We start from the raw sequence: 25,576 nt of genomic DNA on the forward strand, positions 1-25,576 counted from the left end.
TCCAATAATTGGAAGAACCAATAATTCTAAGAAATGTTCACTACCTGGAATGACCCTTCCGGAATGAAAAACATGTTGATAAATGATGAATTACATTCTGTATCACCAAGAAAGAGACAGAGTGCTTTGAATACTGTTGCAGCTTACGCAACATTTCGGTGCGTTGCCTTGTTTTATTACAGCAGGGACCTTAAAGGTTACCTCCTTTCTGTGGGGTCTGGAGAAAAAAGTCACTCCAGCTGCTCCAGGTTGTATTGCCATTCATCCCCAATGATACAAAGACTAAATTATGCTCAAAGTATGTGTGGTAAATTGGTATCTGATATGGAACCAAGAGAAGGCAAAACCTCACCATCCATTCCTTCATTGGAATGGCTACTCTTGAAAAGCAACTTTTGGTTAGGTCGTGAATTCTGTTAAGATGGTCCTCATGAGGATGGCACATGAGGTGATCATGTGACCCAAGCCACATATATGAAGTAGATGATATAGATTAGATGTAAATCAGTCATAAAGCCAGATATACACTTCAGAACTCCATCATCAGGTCAAAGTAATATATATCTGACCAAGTGCAGGTAGTTCCTGAACCCGAATAAATTCCATGAGTAGTTTACACACAGTGCCACGTGCTGACACTTATAGAACTGCCAGTTCTCCTTTGACTCCTATCTATGACCTTACAAACAATTATCTATATCCTGTTGACTCAAAGAAATATATTTGAGCCTGGCACATAAATGACCCCACATGATTGCATGGTATCAGTCAGAAGTAGACTGCAATTGCCCGCTAAGGAGCCCCTGAAGGACAGTTGAGAAAAAAAATTTCTCAGTATATGAAACTTTCAGTATTTTAAATGCAACTTTGTCTTGATGAATACTTATCCCTACACCAAATTATAATAGATACTAGTTTGGCTGGCTAAGTAGAGAGACAAGATTGGAGGATTGGTGCCAATAATGTTTGAGAAACAGATATATGCACAGATACCTCAGAATAAACCCAGAATATAAAAACAATTTCATCCCATATGAGGACCTAAAGGCCTCAGTTTAAAGGGGTCTCATAACAATTAAAAGGACAAGAAAATCTGGCCATAAATAAATCTTCTTCTCAACTGGTCCAATGCCTGGTCAGTGAACCCTTGAAGAGGGCAAGGATGGATACCCAAAAACATGAACTTCCCTTACCAAGGCTAATTACCTATTACCTAATTTTCATCACTGCTGAAGAAATCAATTTGCAAGAAACTATGACCAACCCAGAACCTTAATATATTGTCATACATCACAGGATACTAGTCAACTAACTACCTGGAAGGTGGCAAGTTAATTATATATATAGAACCTCTTCCAGTTCACTAAAATAGGTACCTATTTTGAGTTTGGAATTGCTTGCTTTGCCTAATATATATATATATATATATATATATATATATATATATATATTTTAATTTTAAGTTCTGGGACACATATGTAGGACGTGCAGGTTTGTTACACAGGTAAACGTGTGCTATGGTTTACCTAGCTATTAGGTAAACCATTACCTAGCTATTAAGCCCCGCAGGCATTAGCTATTTATCCTTATGCTCTCCCTCCCCTGGCACCCTCCAACAGGCCCCAGTGTGTATTGTTCCCCTCCCTATGTCCATGTATTCTCACTGCTCAGCTCCCACTTATAAGTGAGAACATGCGGTATTTGGTTTTCTGTTCCTGTGTTAGTTTGCTGAGGATAATGGCTTCTAGCTCCCTTCCTGTCCCTGCAAAGGACATTATTGTGTTCCTTTTCATGGCTGCATAGTATTCCATGGTGTATATGTACCACATTTTCTTTATCCAGTCTATCATTGATGGGCATGTGTGTTGATTCCATGTCTTTGTTATTGTGAATAGGACTGCAAAGAATATATGCGTGCATGTATCTTCATAATAGAATAATTTATATTCCTTTGTTCATATACCCAGTAATGGGATTGCTGGGTTAAATGGTATTTCTGGTTCTAGGTCTTTGAGAAATCACCACACTGTCTTCTACAATGGTTGAACTAATTTACATTCCCACCAGCAGTGTAAGGGCATTCCTGTTTCTCCACAGTCTTGCCAACATCTGTTGTTTCTTGACTTTTTAATAATCGCCATCCTGACTGGCGTGAGATGGTATCTCATTGTGGATTTGATTTGCATTTCTCTAATGATCACTGATGGTGGGCTTTTTTTCATGTGTTTGTTGATCTCATAAATGTCTTCTTTTGAGAAGTGTCTATTCATGTTCTTTGCCCACTTTTTAATGTTTTTTTTCTTGTAAATTTTTTTAGGTTCCTTGTAGATTCTGGATATTAGACCTTTGTCAGATGGATAGATTGCAAAAAAAAATTCTCCCATTCTGTAGTTGTCTGTTTGCTCTGATTATAGCTTTTTCAAACTGTCTGTTTGCGATGACATGATCCTATATCTAGAAAACCCCATCATCTCAGCCAAAATGCTTCTTAAGCTGATAAGCAACTTCATCAAAGTCTCAGGATACAAAATCAATGTGCAAAAATTACAAGCACTCCTATATGCCAACAACAGACAAGCAGAGAGCCAAATCATGAATGAATTCCCATTCACAATTGCTACAAAGAGAATAAAATACATAGGAATACAGCTAACAAGGAACATGAAGGATCTTTTCAAGGAGAACTACAAATCACGGCTAAAGGAAATCAGAGAGGACACAAACAAATGGAAAAACATTCCATGCTCATGGACAGGAAGAATCAATATCGTGAAAATGGCCATACTGCCCGAAGTAATTTATAGATTCAATGTTATTCCCATTAAACTACCATTGACATTCTTCATAGAATTAGAAAAAAACTACTTTAAAATTCATATGGAAACAAAAAAGAGCCCGTATAGCCAAGGCAATCCTAAGCAAAAAGAACAAAGCTGGAGGCATCACACTACCTGACTTCAAACTATACTACAAGGCTACAGTAACCAAAACAGCATGGTACTGGTACAAAAACAGACACATAGACCAATGGAACAGAATAGACAATCCAGAAATAAGTCCACACACCTACAACCATCTGATCATTGGCAAATCTGATACAAACAAGCAATGGGAAAAGGATTACCTATTTAATAAATGGTGTCAGAAAAACTGGCTATCCATATGTGGAAAATTAAAACTGGACCTTTTCCTTATACCTTATATAAAAATTAACTCAAGATGAATTAAAAACTTAAATGTAAAGCCCAAAATGATAAAAACCCTAGAAGAAAATCTATGTAATACCATTCAGGACATAGGCACAGGCAAAGGTTTCAAAATGAAAATGTCAAAAGCAATTGGAACAAAAGCAAAAATTGACAAATGGGATCTAATATACTTTTAAAAGAAGGCCATCCATTTACTTATTGAATGCTTTATATCCTATCATTGTATCCTACAAGTATTACCTCTCATCAAAGATTCACTTTACATTGATAAAATGAGATGATGGGTGAGTACTCAATGGATTCACTGGTCTTCTCTTGTTGCCTATCACCTAGAAGCAGCTGATCTTATAGACTGGGGAAATTACCCACCAAAGATTCAGATATGACAACCAACTGAGGAGCCACACCTTGGAAGGCTGAGGTTCTGTCCTGTAGGATGTAGTACATGCTCTTAACCATTAACCAACATATAGTGTCTTTTCTCCCATATTTAGAATTTGTAAGTATAAGAATTAAAGGATAGAAGGAAGAGTAGCTCCTCTCATGATTATATTTAATGGTACACTTGCAAATTTTCATCTGCCAGTTGCCATGGCTCTGAGTATTAAAAGTTTTTAAGCTTGAAGTCCCAAGAGATAACACACCAAGGGCACAAAAATGGTTCTATGAAATAATGCTCAACATCACTCATAATTAGAGTATTGCAGATCAAAACCACAATGAGATACCATCTCACACCAGTAAGAATGGCTATCATATAAAGTCTGAAAATAGCACATGCTGGTGAGGTTGTGGAGTAGCAGTGTATAAGAATACTTATACACCATGGTTGGTGGGAATGTAAATTAGTTCAGTCATTGTGGAAAGCAGTCTGGCGATTCCTCAAAGAACTTAAAACAGAATTACCACTTGCCCCAGCAATCCCTTTATTGGGTATATACCTAAAGGAATATAAATTATTCTATTATAAAGACACATGTATTTGTATGTTCACTGTAGCACTATTCACAATAGCAATGCCTTGGAATCAACCTAAATTCCCATCAATGGTAGACTGGATAAAGAAAATGTGGTACATATACGCCATGGAATACTATGCAGACATAAAAAAAGAATGAGATTATGTCCTTTGCAGCAACATGGAGCTGGAGACCATTATCCTAAGCATACTAAAACGGAAACAGAAAACCAAACACCACATATTCTCATTTATCGGTGGGAGCTAAACATCAAGTACATATGCTGACAAAGAAAGGAACAAAAGACACTGGGGCTTACTTGTGGATGGAGAGTAGGAAGAGGGTGAGGATCAAGAAACTACCTATCAGGTACTATGCTTATTACTTGGGTGATAAAATAGCCTGTACACCAAACCCCTGTCACACAAAATTTGCCTGTGTAACAAACCTGCACATGTACTGCTAAATGTAAAATAAGTTAATAAATAAATTTTAATTTGCCTAATTTTATAAAGCAAGGACATCAAACAGCCATCTATGAAGAAAATAAAGAACACAGAAAAACTGAAAGCAAAAAACTATCTGTTTTAATTACAAAATATTGGTGATCACTACTCAAATTAAAAATAAGGAGACCCTCAAAGGAAAATCTTCTTCCCTGTCCTTACCAACCCTTTCTGGACACTAATAGCTAATTTTGGAGAAGATAAGTAATATATATTCATTTAAAAGAATAACCTTGGCAAATAAATTGTAGGCCCCCCAAAAAGAGCATCGTAGAGCAAAGCACAACAGTGTCAACTGGATCAAAAGCTCCTTTACCACGTAGATAGCTCCATATTGACTATAATTGATGTCCATTTTTTTCTTTCTAAATCTATTTGAATCTAAATCTATATTTGATCTTAACCAAAAGGCCAAAAAACAATGAACCTAAATCTAATTGAATCTAAAACTATGGCTGCATAGCAAAATATATCATGAATAGTGGCTTAAAGCAATCAGCAATTCTTTGGATCACAATATTGTGGGGTACAGGATTAGGTTTGGCTCAGCTGGTGGTTCTTCTGGTCTAGGCTAGAGGCTCACTGAAATGTCTGATGAGACAATGTGGATAAATGGGCATTTGCATCTTGTCATCTAGAAGATTAGTCCAGGTATGTTCTCTCAGTAAACGAAGAAGAGTAAGAAAAAGGGTGGATATGTATATAAGATCTTTAAAGGCTTAGACTCAGAACTGGACATTAGATGAATAGAAGTCACAGTTTAACAGGGCCAATCCAGATTCAAAATATCTCCACCTCTTGACGAGTGTATTCACAGGGACAGGTGAATATTTGGGGTCATTTTTGTGCTTAAGGTTACTTATGATTAGATTAAAAATTTACAACAAAAGAAGAAATGGGGGAAGGTATATGTCTATAAAGCAAAATGTTGCAAAAAGTTAGCTTGTGTTATTACAGCATTGTAAGATCAGACACATAAGACATACAAGGTACAAAAGGTATGAAAACTGGATTAAGTCCACTAAAGATAATGGGTGGAAAATCTAATATCTTTTTTCATCTGAGTAAAAATAGTAATGGTGAATATGAGCAATGTTGTCTAAACTTGTAATGAAGGGTTTATGTACTTAAACAGTGAAATAATATGATGAGCAAGAGTAAAATATTTGTGCTTAATTAACTGTGAACTCACATTGAAAGTAAATATCATATTAAGAATAGAAAGAGAAATCACATTTCCGTCATTGCTCAAGTAAAAAACTGTGATCGATAATATCAGAAAAAGATGAGGGGAGAAATATTTCTTTCTCTGTGAGTTATTTTTTTCCTTCTTCGTCTTTGTTTTCACAGAAGTTCTTTTTTCAAGAAGACAATATAATTTACAAATTGTTATATATTTAAAAAAATACATTTAGGTATCACAAAAGAATACATTAACGTAATAGACCAAAAAATGACAACATGCAAAATTTAAATTTACAACAAGAAAAATACGAAAATTATTTTTTGCTATGAAATTTTATTTTTTTGATATTCCTATGCCACCTTTAAGGCAAAATGAAATTCCTCATCTAGAATCCAAATTTATAGGTAAACCCTAAAAATGCAGCAGAAGATAAAAGAAACGATGAATTGTTGTTTAGTTGCTTTCTCAATCCTCTGCAAAAATATGCCTCTATGATTGGTTGATTGTTATAAGCCTTTGAGGCTTTGGATTTCTTTTGCAATCAACTATAATATTGGATTTTCAAAGGAAATATATGACAAAATATGAAGATTCACTCACTGCAAAGATCATGATAACCACCAAATAAATACATTCTTTATTCATAAGGAGTTGGAATAAGAGCATAATGACCTCAGGATAACATGTCAACTGCAGTTGTTGGATCCAAACAAGAGACAAAATGTTAACACTCAGATCTTTGGTCTTCTGTTCTTAACCAGAAAATGTTCTGAATTAAGAATCCTGGCCAGGCACGGTGGCTCATGCCTGTGAGCACTTTGGGAGGCCGAGGCGGGTGCATCACTCAAGGTCGGGAATTTAAGAGCAGCCTGGCCAACATGGCGAAACCCCATCTCTACTAAAAATACAAAAATTAGCCAGGCATGGTGGTGCACGCTTGTAATCCCAGGTACTTGGGAGGCTGAGGTAGGAGAATTGCTTGAACATGGGAGGTGGAGGTTGCAGTGAGCAGAGACTGGGCCACTGCACTCCAGCCTGGGTGGCAGAGCAAGAACCCACTCAAAAAAAAAAAAAAAGTCAAATTTTTATCTTATAACTTTTAACAAATAGTGAAGAAGCATATTTCACCAGAATCTAGAAAATAAGGAATAATAATGTAATATAACACCTAAGACTTTATGTCTCAAAGAATATTTATGCTTATGCTTTTTATTTTTAATTTTATTTTCATACTCCAAGGGGCAATGGTATTGATTATCTGAGTGGAAATAAACTTTTTAGAAATGAGGTGTACAACACTGACCAACAGTCTTTAGAAAATAATCTTTCATCTTGGAATGATTCAATGCTAGAAGTGTTGATAATAAAAGCCTGGTTCGTGCTCATGAGTAAAGCATCCACTGGTGTCTATTCTCACTTTCAAAATCACCCACTAGAGTTTATGGATGGCAAAGACATAAATGAGAAACTTGCTCTCAGAGGCCTGGTGGATTTGTCATGAAGCTTTTCTATATAAATAAAAGAGACACCGAGAATGGAAATTACATTATTTTTAGTGCCGTGTTAAAGGAAAGGTCAAGTTAACCCCTTAAGAATTCAACGAGCAACATGATGTACTATGTGTCCAGCAAAGCAATCCCAGAATGGCCCTTATGGACATCTGGTGTAAATCATCCATCTTTTTTGCCCCATTAAAATCAGTGTCACCTCATTAAAACACTTCAGCAGCTGAGCGCACACATTATTTGGTCTTCAAGGAGTTAACGGAAATAGCTGTAGGGATCAGGAAGGTTTCTGTCTTCAAGTGTTCATAGTCACCCAGACAAAGAAGCTAGTGGAAGCATTTCAGGAAGCTCTACTTTCCCTGTCAAGGTGAGAAAGGTATAGCCATTTTTGAAATGGGATTAAAAAAAAAAAACCTCTCTCTCCTACAGCCCCTTATATTGCTAGCAATTACATCTTTGGGGGTCTGATAATTCTCTGGTCAGTAACAGTGCTGTCATATGTACCTTAACCCTGATCTGAAAGAATCAGTGGGTTGCTAAGAGGATATTTCAGCCAAACCAGACGAGTATTTTGAAGTGTTACATTCTGGTGACCCCAATCACTCAGCCTTCAAGACAGGGAAGTTTGGTTCCTTGAAAGTCAGGACCTGCACACTTTCTTTGACCAAACAGGGTGACTTAGGGGCAAAATTGGGTCAAATCATTCAATGCTGCTTTGAACCTGCCTCTCCTTATCTTCCCTATCTTCTTCTGTATATTCTTCAATTCTTTTGCTAGGAATCCTTGAAAGCATGTCTACTCTGGCCTTTGAAAGAGAAATATGTCGGGTAACTAGATCATCTTTTTGAAAAAAACCTTTAAAAATGCCTTTAGTTGAATAGTAACAATAGTAGAAAATAATTCCAGATGAAAAACAGGATGTTGCCTGTTTCATAGAATCCCATATTCATAAAAGTTCATACATACGTTATATTTTAGCAAGGTAAACCATACTGAACTCAGTTATGAACAATTGGTTGCTACAATATAGAGTACTCTATTTTCTTCTTCTCTACTACACTTCCTCTATGGGTTTAGTGTTCTATCTTTAAAAATAGGTAATATAGATAATAAATAAGTAAAAATACATTAAGCTATTTGTTCAACTAAAATGAACCACCAACTTATTTAATCCTGCAGTTCCATATAAACATGACCATAATTCAAAATTCTTTCAGCTTTAAGAGAAAAAATTCCTTATGCACACTGCTAGCTGCAAAAGCTCTACTTCATGTCTACACATCTACATATGGAATGTAACTTACAGCTAGCCTTTTGTATCTATCATATTGACAAATTTCTAATAGTAATAATGATGTTTTCATGAGTATAAGATGTTTTGTGAGTATAGGAACTCTCAGTCACTATACTTCATAGAAGTATAAATTGCTATATATATTCTGGAAGCCACATATATACAGTCAAGCATGACATCCTGACATTTTGGCCAACAATGGACAGTATATATGATAGTGATCCCATAAGATTATAATACCATATTTTACTATGTCTTAGATATTTCAGATGTACAAATACTTATCATTGTGATACAACTGCCTAAGTATTCAGTACAGTAAAATGCGGTACAGATTTGTAGCCCAGGAGCAATAGGCTATAGCATATAGCATAAGAGTATAGTAGGCTACACCATCTAGGTTTGTGTAAGTATTCTCTATAATGTTTGCACAATCATGAAATTGCCCAATGATGCACTTCTCAGAATGTATCCCCAATGTAAAATGATGCATGATTGTATATCAATATCTTAAAAACATGCAAACCCATTAATCATCAAATTCACTTTTCAGAATTTTTCCTTTGAAAATATGTAAGAATATGTGCCGATCTTTATGTACAAATATGTTCATCACAACATTGCTTATAATAGTGAAAATAGTTACAATTTAGTTATTTAATGTAAGATAATTAAATTAGAAATTGTCGGCCGGCGCGGTGGCTCAGGCCTGTAATCCCAGCAGTTTGGGAGGCCGAGGTGGGCGGATCACGAGGTCAGGAGATGGAGACCATCCTGGCTAACACAGTGAAACCCAGTCTCTCCTAAAAATACAAAAAATTAGCCGGGCGTGGTGGCGAATGCCTGCTACTCCGTGTCCCAGCTACTCTGGAGGCTGAGGCAGGAGAATGGCATGAACCCGGGAGGCGGAGCTTGGAGTGAGCCGAGATCGCGCCACTGCACTCCAGCCTGGGCGACACAGCAAGACTCCGTCTCAAAAAAAAAAAAAGAAAAAAGAAATTGTCTAACTAAATTACAGTATATATATATATATATATATATATATATATATATATATATATATAAAATCAATTATGAAACCACTAAAAATAACATTATAGTATAACGATATATTAAAAAACGACTATAATTTTAGTAAAAAAGTTCACAAGGAATGCAATATTGAATAATTCCCATTTTAAAAATATTTCAATGTATACATGAACATACGCACAGAAATAGATGACTGGATATATGTATTCCAAAATATATGGTGGCTTATTGATATAAAGATTTTAAACAGAATGTATTTTTTTCTCCTGGCTTATTTCTAAATTTTTAATCATCAACAAGTGTATCATTAGTATCTTTAAAGTTTCATAAAACCCAATCAAAACTAGCTGATACAAAGAAAATACATTTAGGGGCACACATAACCAAAATGTCAGGTAAGGATCTATTCAGACAAGTTTTCATCTTACTAATGAAGTTTTGCACATAGTGAAATAATATGGCAAGCAAGAATAAAACTTCAGTGTGCTTGTTAACTGGCCAGTGCAGACCGAAAGTGACAGATTGTCCCACTGTCACCTTTCTATGCTCTGCTTTCGCGCTGTTGATCGCTTTATTCAGGCCTTTTCTACTCTGCCAATCTCAAAGCTCTCACTTCTTTTTTTAAGTCCGGAGGAGAAAAGAGAATCCATGCCCCAGCATTCCAAGCAAAGGTCTTGAGACATTTAGAAGGTTTACAGGTTTTCAAGTGCCTGCTCCAAAATCATTCCCTGTTAAAAGATGTAATTCCATGGACCAATTGGCTTAGCTATTCAAGGTGCACCCCCAAGGAGCAGAGTGTAGCATCAATCTCATGCAAACCACTTGGCTGAGACCAGGAAAGGGAACAGATTTTTCTCTAAAGGACATTAGGGGGTGCTCTCAGAAAAGATGGAAAGGATCCTGACAGAAAAAATATCAACATCCACTATAAGCACATAGGATAACTGTAATATTAGAAAAATAATAAAGTTACTACAATAAAATGTATTTTGTCTCACAATACCATCTGGATCTGAAGGATATAAGGTAATTTCCCACTTCGTTCAAGGCAGGCTGTCTCCTGGAGCCTGCTATCATTAAAAGGTGGAGTTGTTACAATTCACCTTTTAATTTCACTTAATATATATCTCTACCTTTCATGCTTTAAGCTTTCCCTAAAGCTTTCTGCTAGCATGTGCCCCTCAGCCATGCCCAGCACAGATAATGCCTCATGTCTCCAACTTCTCTGTTTATGACACCCTAATTAACAACTCCAGAGATTTTCAATTTACCCCTCTGCATTAGTCCATTCTCATGCCGCTATAAAGAACTCCCGAGACTGGGTAGTTTATAAAGGAAGGAGGTTTAATTGACTCACAGTTCCACAGTGCTGGGGAGGCCTCAGGAAACTTACAATCATGGCAGAAGGGGAAGCAAACTTGTCCTTCTTCACATCGTTGCAGGAAGGAGGGTAAGTGCCAGCGGGAGAAAGGCCGGAGGCTTATAAAACCATCAGATCTCATGAGAACTCGCTCACTATCGCGAGAACAGCACGGGAGAAACCATGCCCATGATTCAATTACCTCCCACGGGATCCCTCCCACAAAACGTGGGGATTATGGGGCTTACAATTCAAGATGAGATTTGAGAGAGAATGCAGCCAAACCATATCACCCTCAAAGGACACATGTATTCAGCTACTCCAACTGATAATGCTGCTACCATTATTTGCTTATTAAGCACATAATTTTGTCAGGCGAAAATTATATCCAATTCTAACAATGACCAGGTAGGTATTATTATCCTCCTTTATAGTAAAAGGAGAATAAAGAGGCTCAGAAAGTTTAAATTTTCTATGGTTAATGTTTTAGCAAATGACACAGCCAAGATTCAATCCCAGCTCATTTGGAATCAGCATGCTATCACTCCAATGACGCATTGCGCCACTGGGCACAAAGTAAGCCATGTACCCTGACCAAAAGCTCCCAAAGCAATATAGATAATCCTTGTTAGGGTAAGGGATAAGGGGGACTTCTTCCTAATTTGTATTACCAGTCTGCCAAACTGAAAAATTAAGACATTTAAATATTTTTTAAGAAGTCTTTTCCTTTCAGAATCACTTAAATCTCTGTCCCTATTACTCTCTTCTAAAGTGTGCCTTTGGGTTTGGCTGTCTCTATAATAATTTGCTGCAAATTCATAATGAATACCTACACAAACCACATCTGGTTTCTGAGCTGTTAGTGCTCTTGCAGAAAATTTCTTTCTTTTATTTGGGGCGAGAGAAATGGAGTAAATTATGCTTGGTGTTAAAATATGCAGTCCAGGCTCCAGATATGGAGGAAGGGGTACTGGAATCAGGATAATGATAGCAATACAAGCCAGGTCAATGAGGTTTCCAGCAAAAATTTATAATCAGAAAATAGGTATTTATAGAATGATAGAACATTAGAGCCTAAAGTGACCACTATTAGAGATGGACATTGAGACTTAGAAGTTCAGTGCACGATCCATGTTCACAGCTCATAACAATGCCCCACTATAATCCAGGTCACCCAAATAATCAAATGACATTTTTCTATTAAACCACAATGCCTACTGTTAAAAGAAAAAAAAAAAACCCTACATTTTCTTAGTCGTTTAATATTGTTCCTTTCCAGAGAAATATATTAAAAACTAAAATGTTGCACAAAGATTTTTCAGTAAAAAAGATAAGGAATATGAATTTTACTTCTCATTCAGTCTTGTTATTACCTATAAAATCATTTAACACTAATAAAAATATCACATTGCTCTAAGATCCCATAATATGACAGTGCCTAATTATTTCTTCTAGCTAGATTATTTATTTTTTTCCAATTTCAATATATTTTTGAAAACTCAGGTAAGTTAGTGATTTCTTTTAAAAAAAAAACTTACTTCAAGATTTAAACACCTTCCTTAAGGAAGCAAAAAGACTATTCAGCCTTTCAAATTGCATCTTCTGTTTCTGGAAGCATCAATAAAGCTCTTATTCAAGACTGGCCCATTGTGAAGTTGCCTCGTCTCCTACTTTCCAGATAGAGTACATTCTTAGGTCAGATACATAGTTGACCACTGATACGATTTTTCCAGGAAAAAAAAACAACTTTAGAACTACTTTGCTTATTCATTATCGAAAAAAAGGGTTAGGGGTTGGGGAAAGATGCAAGAACTATGTGTCCAAAAGAAAGGCAACATTCGAAACAGAAGTTTGTAGCTTCCTCTTACCTCGATCTGACAACAAATAAATGTAAATTATGATCCTTGCTGTGCATTTCAGATTAAAGACATATGACACAAAAGTTGGCTTTAAAACCAAAGGGTCAGAATAGAAAGTGTAACTTTTAAGTAATTCGTCTCTTGGATTGGTATCAGACTACTGTTACACTAGAGGAGACACATGCAGAAAACCTGTGTTCTCTCCCATAAGGGCTTTGATGTGGATTCTTCTTTTTTTCCTTTTCATAAAAATGTAACTTGAAAGAAAAGAATACTCTACCTCTGAAAAACGATCCTGCCCTATTAAGAAGCAGACAAGGCAATAAGTTTAAAACAAAATTTAGGTGGGAAGGGTAGAAACAGCTGTAGGAGTTAACCTAAAAGTTCAGCAAACCCTGCCAAGACATGTGACAGTGCTTAACTTGCCAAGAGTAGGTACTCTCCTTAGAGACCTCTCCAAATATTATCAAAAGCATTTCCTTTGAAACAGACCAGCCTCTGATAATAATACAAGGGAATCAAACTCAGGCATCTCCCCATAATGGGATTCAGATTCCTCACAAACTTGGGAGTGTTGAAGGTTTAATTACCCAGTAAAACAAGAAAAATGCATTATACAGTAGAGATAAATGAATGGGAACACCAGGGGAACATGCTTCTCCATAAGTCATTTGGTCACATGATTTCTTCCCCATTTCCTTTCCTTATTATTACAGCTATTTTATTACATTGCCCCTAAAGACAGAGGGCAAAAAGCAAAATACTCATAGCTTCCTCAAAGTACTTCCCAGATTAAATGTAATAGAGCATAAGTTTCTCAAGTGGCTTACAGCTTTATAAAGGTTTCTTTTTAGAGTCTCACAGAGATTAAAAAAAAAAAAAAAAAGCTGACCACCACCAAGCAGCAAGTATGATAAAACCATGTAGACACCAAGAAATGACAAGAAAAAGAGAAACAGTGGATTGAATATGTTTCTCTCTCTCTCTCTCTCTCTCTCCACACCCCCTCACTCTCTCTCTCCCCCGCCCCCCACCTTCCCCACTCTCTGTTATCCTTTACTGGGACATTTGTGATTTCACTGTTACTCTTTCAAAGCTCTTTTAATTATTGAAAAATACTAAAATCAGTTAAATTATAGGGCTCAGTAACAGGGACTAAAATCTAGATTACTCCTTTTCCAAGCCTTACCCAAGAGTTGATAGATTTTAAAAGAATACCTTCTACTTTTTCACCATGAACCAGTCCTAGTCTCTCCTTCATAGTATCTGCTCCTCTTATACTCTACTTTCCTGGGCAACTCGAAGACTTACACTTATTGATGGATGTTAAACCAAGCTTCAAAATAAAGATTCAACATTGTGCAATCCAGATATAATAATAATGATGAACTGCAACATTTTTTATCCGTACTATTGTGGAGCATTGGAATACGTTGCCAAGGAAAATCATAACACAGATTTCAATGGCTATATAATATGCCACCAATAAGTTTTGGACAGAGATAACTAAAGTAAGAGAAAAGCAAAGTAGGAAAGAAAATCTTATAACACTGTTATATTTATAATTTCCCCCTAAACTATGAAAGAATGAAATAGAACAATAAATATTACTAAAAGTAAAATGGCATCACAAGTTCCAGAATTGATAACCATATAGAAATATACTCCCACGAAGTTGTTTATGATTTCTTTAGAGGGGCAATATATACAATAAAAATTGAGGACCAAGATATAAAAAAAGGGAAAATGCTGACTGTTTCTGTTACAAAGTAGAAAAATACTGAAATTTTACATGAATACTGATAAGTACATAAAAAATCTTAAAACAAATATAATTTGTAATTTAGAAAACCCTGAGAATGTATTTTAAATAAACATTATAATTCATTTCTCTAAAGTGGTGGTTCACTCTAAAGAATAAAATTCTTACAGAAAAACTACTTTTCTGTTCCCCATGACTATATATAATTCTTAGAAGTATCCCCAAGTCAACATCAAAGAGAAAAACATGATACACAGTTGAATCTAATTTGATATTCCCATAATTATTGTCACGTGAAGAGTCAATAACTGTAAATTGCTCAGCAATGTAGAAGCTCTGATAACACTTCCAGTAAGATTTGTTTTCTCTTATCTCATCTCTTTTCTGTCTTTCTAACATGGCCTTCAGCAACATCCTGACAGTGCAGAATGAAGCCAAAATGCCTCAACAAAATAGTCTTTTTCTCTGGTAGCTGCTAAATCATAGCCATTTGGCTATAATTTTAGAAGTAATGGCAGGCCTAAGTCCTTTAGGCAAGAAAGTCTAAACTGGGATTTTGCTTGTGCATGTGTAGCACTGAGTTAATTCACAGTGAGAACAGTCAGGAACCCTGAACAAGCTGTCTAATGTGCCCACTCCATTTCTGGTTGACTACAAGGTGCAGAGATTAGTACTTGTGCTGTGTCAGCAAGAGTGACAGGAGTTTGACCTTTCTCCATAGCAGGAAGGAGGCTGAGCTCCCACAGCCTTTTCCTGCATGAGCTCTTTGCAGGGCATTGTAACATATCATTACTGTGGCATCACTGCCAAGGGTTGCCATTTTAGAGAAAACATACAAATGGCCCAATAATGGGTTTCTTCATGCGTCACTGGAAGCCTGTAAAAGGAGCTTTGTTTGTATCCTTATTGTCTGATGTATTGGAACTTGAGTGCCTTTTTGACCTTTGTATTGTCATTCACATCTTTCCAACACAATACAGCCAGAGTAAGAGTTGAAGAAAAAAATGCTGAAATCAGAGGTAATGGTGTTGCTTCGTTTGACCAGTCTGAGACCAAATGTGCCTCCTCCTGTTCATTTAGATTCATTCCATTTAGATTGTCTTCCTTCATCTTGGTGCAGAGCTGAGTTCAATTCCTGGATATCCTTGTTAACTTTCTGTCTCGTTGATCTGTCTGATGCTGACAGTGGGGTGTTAAAGTCTCCCATTATTATTGTGTGGGAGTCTAAGTCTCTTTGTAGGTCTCTAAGGACTTGCTTTATGAATCTGGGTGCTCCTGTATTGGGTGCATATATATTTAAGATAGGTAGCTCTTCTTGTTGAATTGATCCCTTTACCATTATGTAATGGCCTTCTTTGTCTCTTTAGATCTTTGTTGGTTTAAAGTCTGTTTTATCAGAGACTAGGATTGCAGCACAAAGCGGACCTAATAGACATCTACAGAACTCTCCACCCCAAATCAACAGAATATACATTCTTCTCAGCACCACACTGCACTTATTCCAAAATTGACCACATAGTTGGAAGTAAAGAACTCCTCAGCAAATGTAAAAGAAGAGAAATTATAACAAACTGTCTCTCAGACCACAGTGCAATCAAACTAGAACTCAGGATTAAGAATCTCACTCAAAACCTCTCAACTACATGGAAACTGAACAACCTGCTCCTGAATGACTACTGGGTGCATAATGAAATGAAGGCAGAAATAAAGATGTTCTTTGAAACCAATGAGAACAAAGACACAACATACCAGAATCTCTGGGACACATTCAAAGCAGTGTGCAGAGGGAAATTTATAGCACTAAATGCCCACAAGAGAAAGCAGGAAAGATCTAAAATTGACACCCCAACATCACAATTAAAAGAACCAGAGAAGCAACAGCAAACACATTCAAAAGCTAGCAGAAGGCAAGAAATAGCTAAGATCAGAGCAGAACTGAAGGAGATAGAGACACAAAAAAACCCTTCAAAAAATCAATGAATCCAGGAGCTGGTTTTTTGAAAAGATCAGCAAAATTAATAGACCGCTAGCAAGACTAATAAAGAAGAAAAGAGAGAAGAATCAAACAGACGCGATAAAAAATGATAAAGGGGATGTCACCACCGATCCCACAGAAATACAAACTACCATCAGAGAATACTATAAACACCTCTATGAAAATAAAGTAGAAAATTTAGAAGAAATGGATAAATTCCTCAACACATACACTCTCCCAAGACTAAACCAGGAAGAAGCTGAATCTCTGAATAGACCAATAACAGGCTCTGAAATTGAGGCAATAATAAATAGCTTACCAACCAAAAAAAGTCCAGGACCAGATGGATTCACAGCTGAATTCTACCAGAGGTACAAGGAGGAGCTGGTACCATTCCTTCTGAAACTATTCCAATCAATAGAAAAAGAGGGAATCCTCACTAACTCATTTTATGAGGCCAGCATCATCCTGATACCAAAGCCTGGCAGAGACACAACAAAAAAAGGGAATTTTAGACCAATATCCCTCATGAACATCGACGCAAAAATCCTCAATAAAATACTGGCAAACCGAATCCAGCAGCACATCAAAAAGCTTACCCACCATGATCAAGTGGGCTTCATCCCTGGGATGTAAGGCTGGTTCAACACACAAAAATCAATAAATGTAATCCAGCATATAAACAGAACCAGTGATAAAAACCACATGATTATCTCAATAGATGCAGAAAAGGCCTTTGACAAAATTCAACAGCCCTTCGTGCTAAAAACTCTCAATAAATTAGGTATTGATGGGACGTATCTCAAAATAATAAGAGCTATTTATGACAAACCCACAGCCAATATCATACTGAATGGGCAAAAACTGGAAGCATTCCCTTTGAAAACTGGCACAAGACAGGGATGCCCTCTCTCACCACTCCTATTCAACATAGTGTTGGAAGTTCTGGCCAGGGCAATCAGGCAGGAGGAGGAAATAAAGTGTATTCAATTAGGAAAAGAGGAAGTCAAATTGTCCCTGTTTGCAGATGACATGATTGTATACCTAGAAAACCCCATCGTCTCAGCCCAAAATCTCCTTAAGCTGATAGGCAGCTTCAGCAAAGTCTCAGGATACAAAATCAATGTACAAAAATCACAAACATTCTTATACACCAATAACAGACAAACAGAAAGCCAAATCATGAGTGAACTCCCATTCACAATTGCTTCAAGAGGAATAAAATACCTAGGAATCCAACTTACAAGGGATGTGAAGGACCTCTTCAAGGAGAACTACAAACCACTGCTCAACGAAATAAAAGAGGATACAAATGGAAGAACATTCCATTCTCATGGGTAGGAAGAATCAATATTGTGAAAATGGCCATACTGCCCAAGGTAATTTATAGATTCAGTGCCATCCCCATCAAGCTACCAATGACTTTCTTCACAGAATTGGAAAAAACTACTTTAAAGTTCATATGGAACCAAAAAAGAGCCCTCATTGCCAAGTCAATCCTAAGCCAAAAGAACAAAGCTGGAGGCATCATGCTACCTGATTCAAACTATGCTACAAGGCTACAGTAACCAAAACAGCATGCTACTGGTACCAAAACAGAGATATAGACCAACGGAACAGAACAGAGCCCTCAGAAATAATACCACACATCTACAACTATCTGATCTTTGACAAACCTGACAAAAACAAGAAATGGGGAAAGGATTCTGTATTTAACAAATGGTGCTGGGAAAACTGGCTAGCCATATGTAGAAAGCTGAAACTGGATCCCTTCCTTACACCTTATACAAAAATTAATTCAAGATGGATTAAAGACTTAAATGTTAGACGCAAAACCATAAAAACCCTAGAAGAAAACCTAGGCAATACCATTCAGGACATAGGCATGGGCAAGGACTTCATGTCTAAAACACCAAAAGCAATGGCAACAAAAGCCAAAATTGACAAATGGGATCTAATTAAGCTAAAGAGCTTCTGCACAGCAAAAGAAACTACCATCAGAGTGAACAGGAAACCTACAGAATGGGAGAAAATTTTTGCAATCTACTCATCTGACAAAGTGCTAATATCCAGAATCTACAAAGAACTCAAACAAATTTACAAGAAAAAAACAAACAACCCCATCAACAAGTGGGTGAAGGATATGAACAGACACTTCTCAAAAGAAGACATTTATGCAGCCAACAGACACATGAAAAAATGCTCATCATCACTGGCCATCAGAGAAATGCAAATCAAAACCGTGATGAGATACCATCTGACACCAGTTAGAATGGCCATCACTAAAAAGTCAGGAAACAACAGCTGCTGGAGAGGATGTGGAGAAATAGGAACACTTTTACACTGTTGGTGGGACTGTAAACTGGATCAGCCATTGTGGAAGACAGTGTGGCAATTCCTCAGGGATCTAGAACTAGAAATACCATTTGACCCAGCCATCCCATTCCTGGGTATATACCCAAAGGATTATAAATCATGCTGCTATAAAGACACATGCACACGTATGTTTATTGCAGCACTATTCACAATAGCAAAGACCTGGAACCAACCCAAATGCCCAACAATGATAAACTGGATTAAGAAAATGTGGCACATACACACCATGGAATACTATGCAGCCATAAAAAATGATGAGTTCATGTCCTTTGTAGGGACATGGATGAAGCTGGAAACCATCATTCTCAGCAAACTATCACAAGGACAAAAAACCAAACATCGCATGTTCTCACTCATAGGTGGGAATTGAACAATGAGAACACTTGGACACAGGGTGGGGGACATCACACACCGGGGCCTGTTGTGGGGTGGGGGGAGGGGGGAGTGATAGCATTAGGAGATATACCTAATGTAAATGACGAGTTAATGGGTGCAGCACACCAACATGGCACATGTATACATATGTAACAAACCTGCATGTTGTGCACATGTACCCTAGAACTTAAAGTATAATTTAAAAAAAAAGATTGTCTTCCTTCATCAAAGTATATCAGCTTAGACTTCAGTACAAGGGGGGTTAATGATAACATCTCACCCTCAGAGCCATTTACACAAAGAGCTGGTAGACAAGGAGACTGTGTTGTTAGCTCATGAATATACTTATACATAAATAATTTGAAAGTAGACTATTTCAACCTATAAGAGACCAGAGTTCTCTGACATTTTAAAGGATACATGTTAGAGAAAACGGAAGGCCAGTCTAGAAGTGTGGTGGGCATCCATTACCTCTTTTACGGGCAATAGCCTGGATTTAATTTTTGCCCCGCTAGTCTCCCACTCTCAGTCCAAATGCTTGAGTGAGGCACTACCACTATCTTGGCAGTGGAGTTTGCATCAAAGGCCTGAGCCAATCTGTGGATGGCCTTGTCCTGATTACAAAGACAGGAGGAAAAAATCAAAGGCATGCATGCTCATACAAGCATTTACGGATCTAGAGCTTCAACCCAGTTCAGTGATTTTGGTAGGCTTTTCACATGTTTGACTACTCCTATCAGAAAAAGGGAACTAGATTTATAATTTTAAGTTTCTAAGTATATCTGCTAAAATTAATAGCTTAATGTCACAAACCGTCTAATATTAATACATTTTGATCAACAGCACATAGGCTTATATATTCCTAACAATATTGAATAACAATCTAGACTGAGGTGCCTTTATAAAACTCAATTGCTAAATAATAGTTCTATGCAACACATTCAGTTTTATTATTCTGGAAGAATCCCAAGCAGAATCCTGGAGAGATACTTTAAAGCCAACTATGAACAAACTTTATAATATCTTCAGTAATATGCCTCTTATTTTTCTCTAAAATTAAAGGTTATCCTTTAGCAGATAACCTGCTAAAGATGCTGTTTTTGTGACTGACCATATCACTTCTTTAATGCTAGGGAGATAGCCAAGGCAAATTTTGCAGTCAAGATCAGAACTGTGAGAAAATGCTATTTATTCATTCTCGTATAAATTATGTATCATTTCATTTCAACTGGGCTGAAGTTGCTTTTGTTCTAATTTTTTAACCTTTTTATTGTGAAGTACACTGTACATACAAAAAAAAGCTGTACAATGAAAAGATGTACAACTCAATGATTTTTCATACACCAAACACCTGTGCACTGCATCGAGAATTAATACATTGTCTGTGCTCCACATGTGCACCCTTGTTTCCTTTCCCAAACACTACCACATCCTTTTTCTCAAAGACAATCAGTGTCCTGAGTTTTACGGTCATTGCTTTTCTTGTATTTTTATACCTAAGCATGCATCCCCAAAAACAATAGTTTACTTTTGCTTGTTTTTTTCAAAGTTTATATAAACGGAATTATACAGTATATCTTCTTTTGTGCCTGGATTTTTTTTCACTTCATATTGCCTTTGTGATATTCATCTATGTTGTTTCATATAGCTCTAGTTTCATATAGTTCTAGTATCTTTATCGACATACATATATATCCATTATTATTGAGTGACATTTTGCTTCTAGTTTTTGTCCATTGATAATTAAGTTGCCGGGAACATTCTTATACATGTCTTTTAGAACACTTAGACATGCACTTCCTTTGGGTATATACCAAAGGGCGGAATTGTTGGGTCTCTAGTAGGTGAAGTGGAAATCTAGGATCTCAGGCCCATGTTCCTTTAAATCCAAAACCAATGCAATGCACTAAATTCTATAATTGGCTACATTAAAATAATAGAAATAGAGATTAATAAAGTATACTCTGGTAACATTGTGTTTTTCAGTTGGCTTATCAAGACAACTCATTTTAAATAATAAATAATGATACGTAATGTCAGTTACTTTCTTTACTATTATTGAGGGCAAAAGATCTAAGCATTGAGAAAAACCAGGGAAGTGATTTTCTTGGTTACTAATGTCAATCATATTAGAGAAATTTCTGAGGTTTTCATCTCTCCTGTTTTTCAGACAGGTAGATGCAGTGACCCAATGAGTGTTCAGCAATTTACATTTCAAGAGATCAGTACAACCAAAGTCTTATAGTTCTGTGTTTAAAGAAGCTACATCCCATAATCCCGAGGTCTTGGCCATCTGCAGTGAACTAGGCCATATTGTTGTGGTTTCCAATTTAGCAGCTACAGAAAGTTTGCTTGCCTCATGAGATAACTAGTTAGTAAAGACAACTACTACACTGAAACCTAATCTTCTAGAACTGTCATCTGCAAGACTTTGAATCTATGACTTAGGATGTTCTGTGGGTTTTGTTTTTTGTTTTTTCTTTTCTTTTTTGTTTGTTTGTTTGTTTTTGTTTTTTTGTTGTTTTTGAGATGGAGTCTCACTCTGTTGCCAGGCTGGAGTGCAATGGCGCAATCTTGGCTCACTGCAACCTCCGCTTCCCAGGTTCAAGTAATTATCCTGCCTCAGCCTCCCGAGTAGCTGGGATTACAGGCATCTGCCATCATGCCCAGCTAATTTTTGTTTTTTTAGTAGAGACGGGGTTTCACCATGTTGGCCAGGATGGCCTTGATCTCCTGACTTCGTGATCTGCTCACCCTGGCCTCCCAAAGAGAATTCACACTGTTACCATTCAATGTATTATCTGAATGGTTGCTTTATCCCCACAGGAAATCCAGGGTGAAGGTTTCCAGATAAAATACAGGACACACAATTAAATTTGAGTTTCAGAGAAACAATGGACATTTTTTTTTTATGTGAGTATGGAATATTTTCATTTTCTAAGTCTGGCAACCCTACCTAGGCTTAAGCTTTTATAGGCTGATCTGCCCTTACATTCACTATATGCTTGTGTCTATCTCTTTGCAAGCAATAGAAAATATGATTTAATAAGTTCTGTTCTTCTCAGTATTATTGATTTAATAGAAACAATAACAAAACTGGCATTGAATATTGTCTCCTATAATAACTTTAATATTCATGTTAAAATATCTTCAAAAATGATAACAAGAGTTTACTAATATATAAGCCAGATATCAGCTGGGGGCCTCTATGACTCTAAGAAATTAATGAACTTTACTCAACCATTCCCATCTCTTCCTTCTCCCAAAGAAATCGGAAATACAAGTTCCTTGCCAAGACTTCAGCACATTCCTGAGCACTTGATTTTCATGACTCCTTTTTCCCTGGGCTCCTGTTTCCATGTTTACCAACTCAAGTGCTGCCCAACAGGGACCTCAAAATGATACTTAACCTCTGTTCAACTTCTGTGAAAAACTCCATGCACACAGCTTTCACAAGTAGAGTAAATTTAACTTTATGTGAGATGGGCTTCTATAATAGCAATGTAAACAATTTAAACAGTTATATTTTGTTTTAAGTAATGATATTCATGTACCCGTGAAACTCCCAAACTCATGGGGTTTTTTTACTGGCCATTCAACTAGTCCAGGACTCATCTTACCTGATTCAAGATGAAAATGTATTTTTTTCTCCTGTGTCTCACACAAAGCAGTATTCCCCCTCCACTTAAACATTGACCCAATATAACCCCTAAGCCCTCAGAGTACTTACCTTTTACCACAAACATGTATTAAAGTAATTTACCAAACAAAGGCAATTTTATTCTAAAGTAAATTTCTATCCTAGCTGTCAAAATATCAACCTTTTCTCCTTTTCATTATATAAAATTAATATACTTACACTCTTGTACGCTGCTTTTGGAAGAATAGTTTGCTATAATCTCTGGAAAATAATTTGAAGGTAAACGTAAATGAGAAAGCATACTTCCTATGGCCTAGAATATCTCCTTGTAGAAATGCATTTTAAAAAATAATCATGAACAGTTATGAAGATTTACTCCATGGATGTTTTTCCAACATTGTTTCTGACTGAAAAATCATAAACAACTTAAGTGTCCGTTAATAGGAGATGACTAAATTAGTCATTTTCACCCATAAAGTGAAATACTATAAAACTATTAAAATGATTATAGAGTAACATTTAATAATAGGGGAAGATATTTTTGATATACTATTAAATAGACAAAAGAAGCAGGTTCCAAATACTCATAAAATGTAATACTAATGTTTTTTAGCATCATCTAAAAACACTTAGATAAGGTATATGTCAAACTAACATGTCACTTCTGATGATGAAATAAAACATGATTTACATGTTCTTAGTGTTTTGCAATATTTTCTAAAATTGCTATCATATACATTTCTTCATTTTTTTTTAAAAAAATGATGATATTATGGCAGAGACACACCGCTTTTTAACAGTAATCAACTCTCAGATGTGTTTCCATTCTCTATTTGTTTTTAACTAGTAACATTACTGTTGTGATTCCCTTTCTTTTTCAAAAAATGTCTACTTTTTCTAATGAAGAATGATAGTTTTATGGAAAAAATCTCAAGTTATTGTTAGCAAAACGCGTTATTTTTCATGATGTGAATTATCACTGTTGAAGGTTGAGTGTTAAGCCATCAACAAAACATATGAGTGGACAGGGACTTCACTTACTGGGAATGCATTATAAAGTATATGCTTATTTCCTAAATGATAAAATTTTCTTTAAGAATCTTTCATTTCCATCTGTCCATAATTTCATTCATTCAACAAAATGTTTTGAGTACCTGCTGTGCATCAAGCAAAGTTGTATAATTGACAGGTGTTATGCAGAGAAATAAAGCAGGAAGCAGGGTGAAGACATCTACCGGGAAGAGATCTTGCTATTTTTTACACAGTGATCAGAAAAAGCCTCTCTCATCAGATGACATTTGATCTGTACACAGTAGGTACAAAGGCAGGAATATGCTTGTAGGTTCAAGGCATTGCAAGGAGTCCTGTTGATGCAGGATTGGGAAGCGAGAGATGAGTGTTTACATTTTTACAATAAACTCACTCTTTATATACTCTGAGTAACTTTAAAAGCTACTATTGTTCAATATCTCATGGTGAGCAATGTCTGTTTCCATTCTTTTCTATGACTCCTCTCTTAAAAATTATGGAGAGTTGTTTTCTCTTTCCATCCCACATGGCTATCATTTACCATAATCATAGTATCTTCTTTTAGTACCAAAAAGCATCCCCTCATAACAATATTTACTTTATATATTTGGCTTTGAATTTCCTAAGAGTAAATTATTCAAATAAACTACATAGAATTAAATAGGTCAAAATACGTAAAACAAAAACAGCCGCTAGTAAGCATAATGATTTTTAAAATATTAGTGTAAAATCACATAGACTAAAAAAAAAATAAATAAAAATAGAACCACACTAATAAAGGAGCCAAAAGCTTTTTCCTAAAGCTTTTCTTGCAGAGTTCCTTATGATTGAGAAAAAGATTGGGTATGTTTTTTAGTAGAGATGCCAGGTTCTTTACAAGAAGATTATGTTTTCTGCTCTTCTTAGACTCCACAACATGAAAGTAAAGTAAGAGATATATTTATTTGTAAACATGTATTTACATTTATATACATTATATTATTTTTATAAATATTTATTAATGACTCCTTTCAGCTATGTAAGTATAATTTTGTCCACCAAAATTGTAAGATGATCCAATGCTTTATCAGCTATTTATGATGACCTTTTGAAGAAGTCCAAGAGGCTGGTTATGGTCAGGATAGTTTCCCTGTAATAAATCATTCTGAATGGAGTTTCATCACCACATGCAGTTTGATGTAAGTTCATTCTAAGTGGATTGTGTTTTTAAGGATATACTCATCTATATTGCCAATAAGAAAGCAGAATAATGACAAAACTACCATTTGGGTCCACTAGTTCAGTCATCCTGGTCAAATAAAGCTGGTATTTTGTAAGAACAAAAACAAAAATAAAAATCACTTCAAGGGGCTGAACCTGTATTATGGAATCAACTGTATATAAATTACTATTATTCTCAAGAAGAAAAAGCCAGAATGATTGTGAAGAGAAGTACAGATGGATAACTAAGTGGAGCATTTGGGTGAGCTATACACTAAGGTTTTGGTGTGAGCCTTCACCAGTATAGCA

Source organism: Homo sapiens, chromosome 15 (assembly GCF_000001405.40).
Source record: "Homo sapiens chromosome 15, GRCh38.p14 Primary Assembly".
NCBI classification, from domain to species: domain Eukaryota; kingdom Metazoa; phylum Chordata; class Mammalia; order Primates; family Hominidae; genus Homo; species Homo sapiens.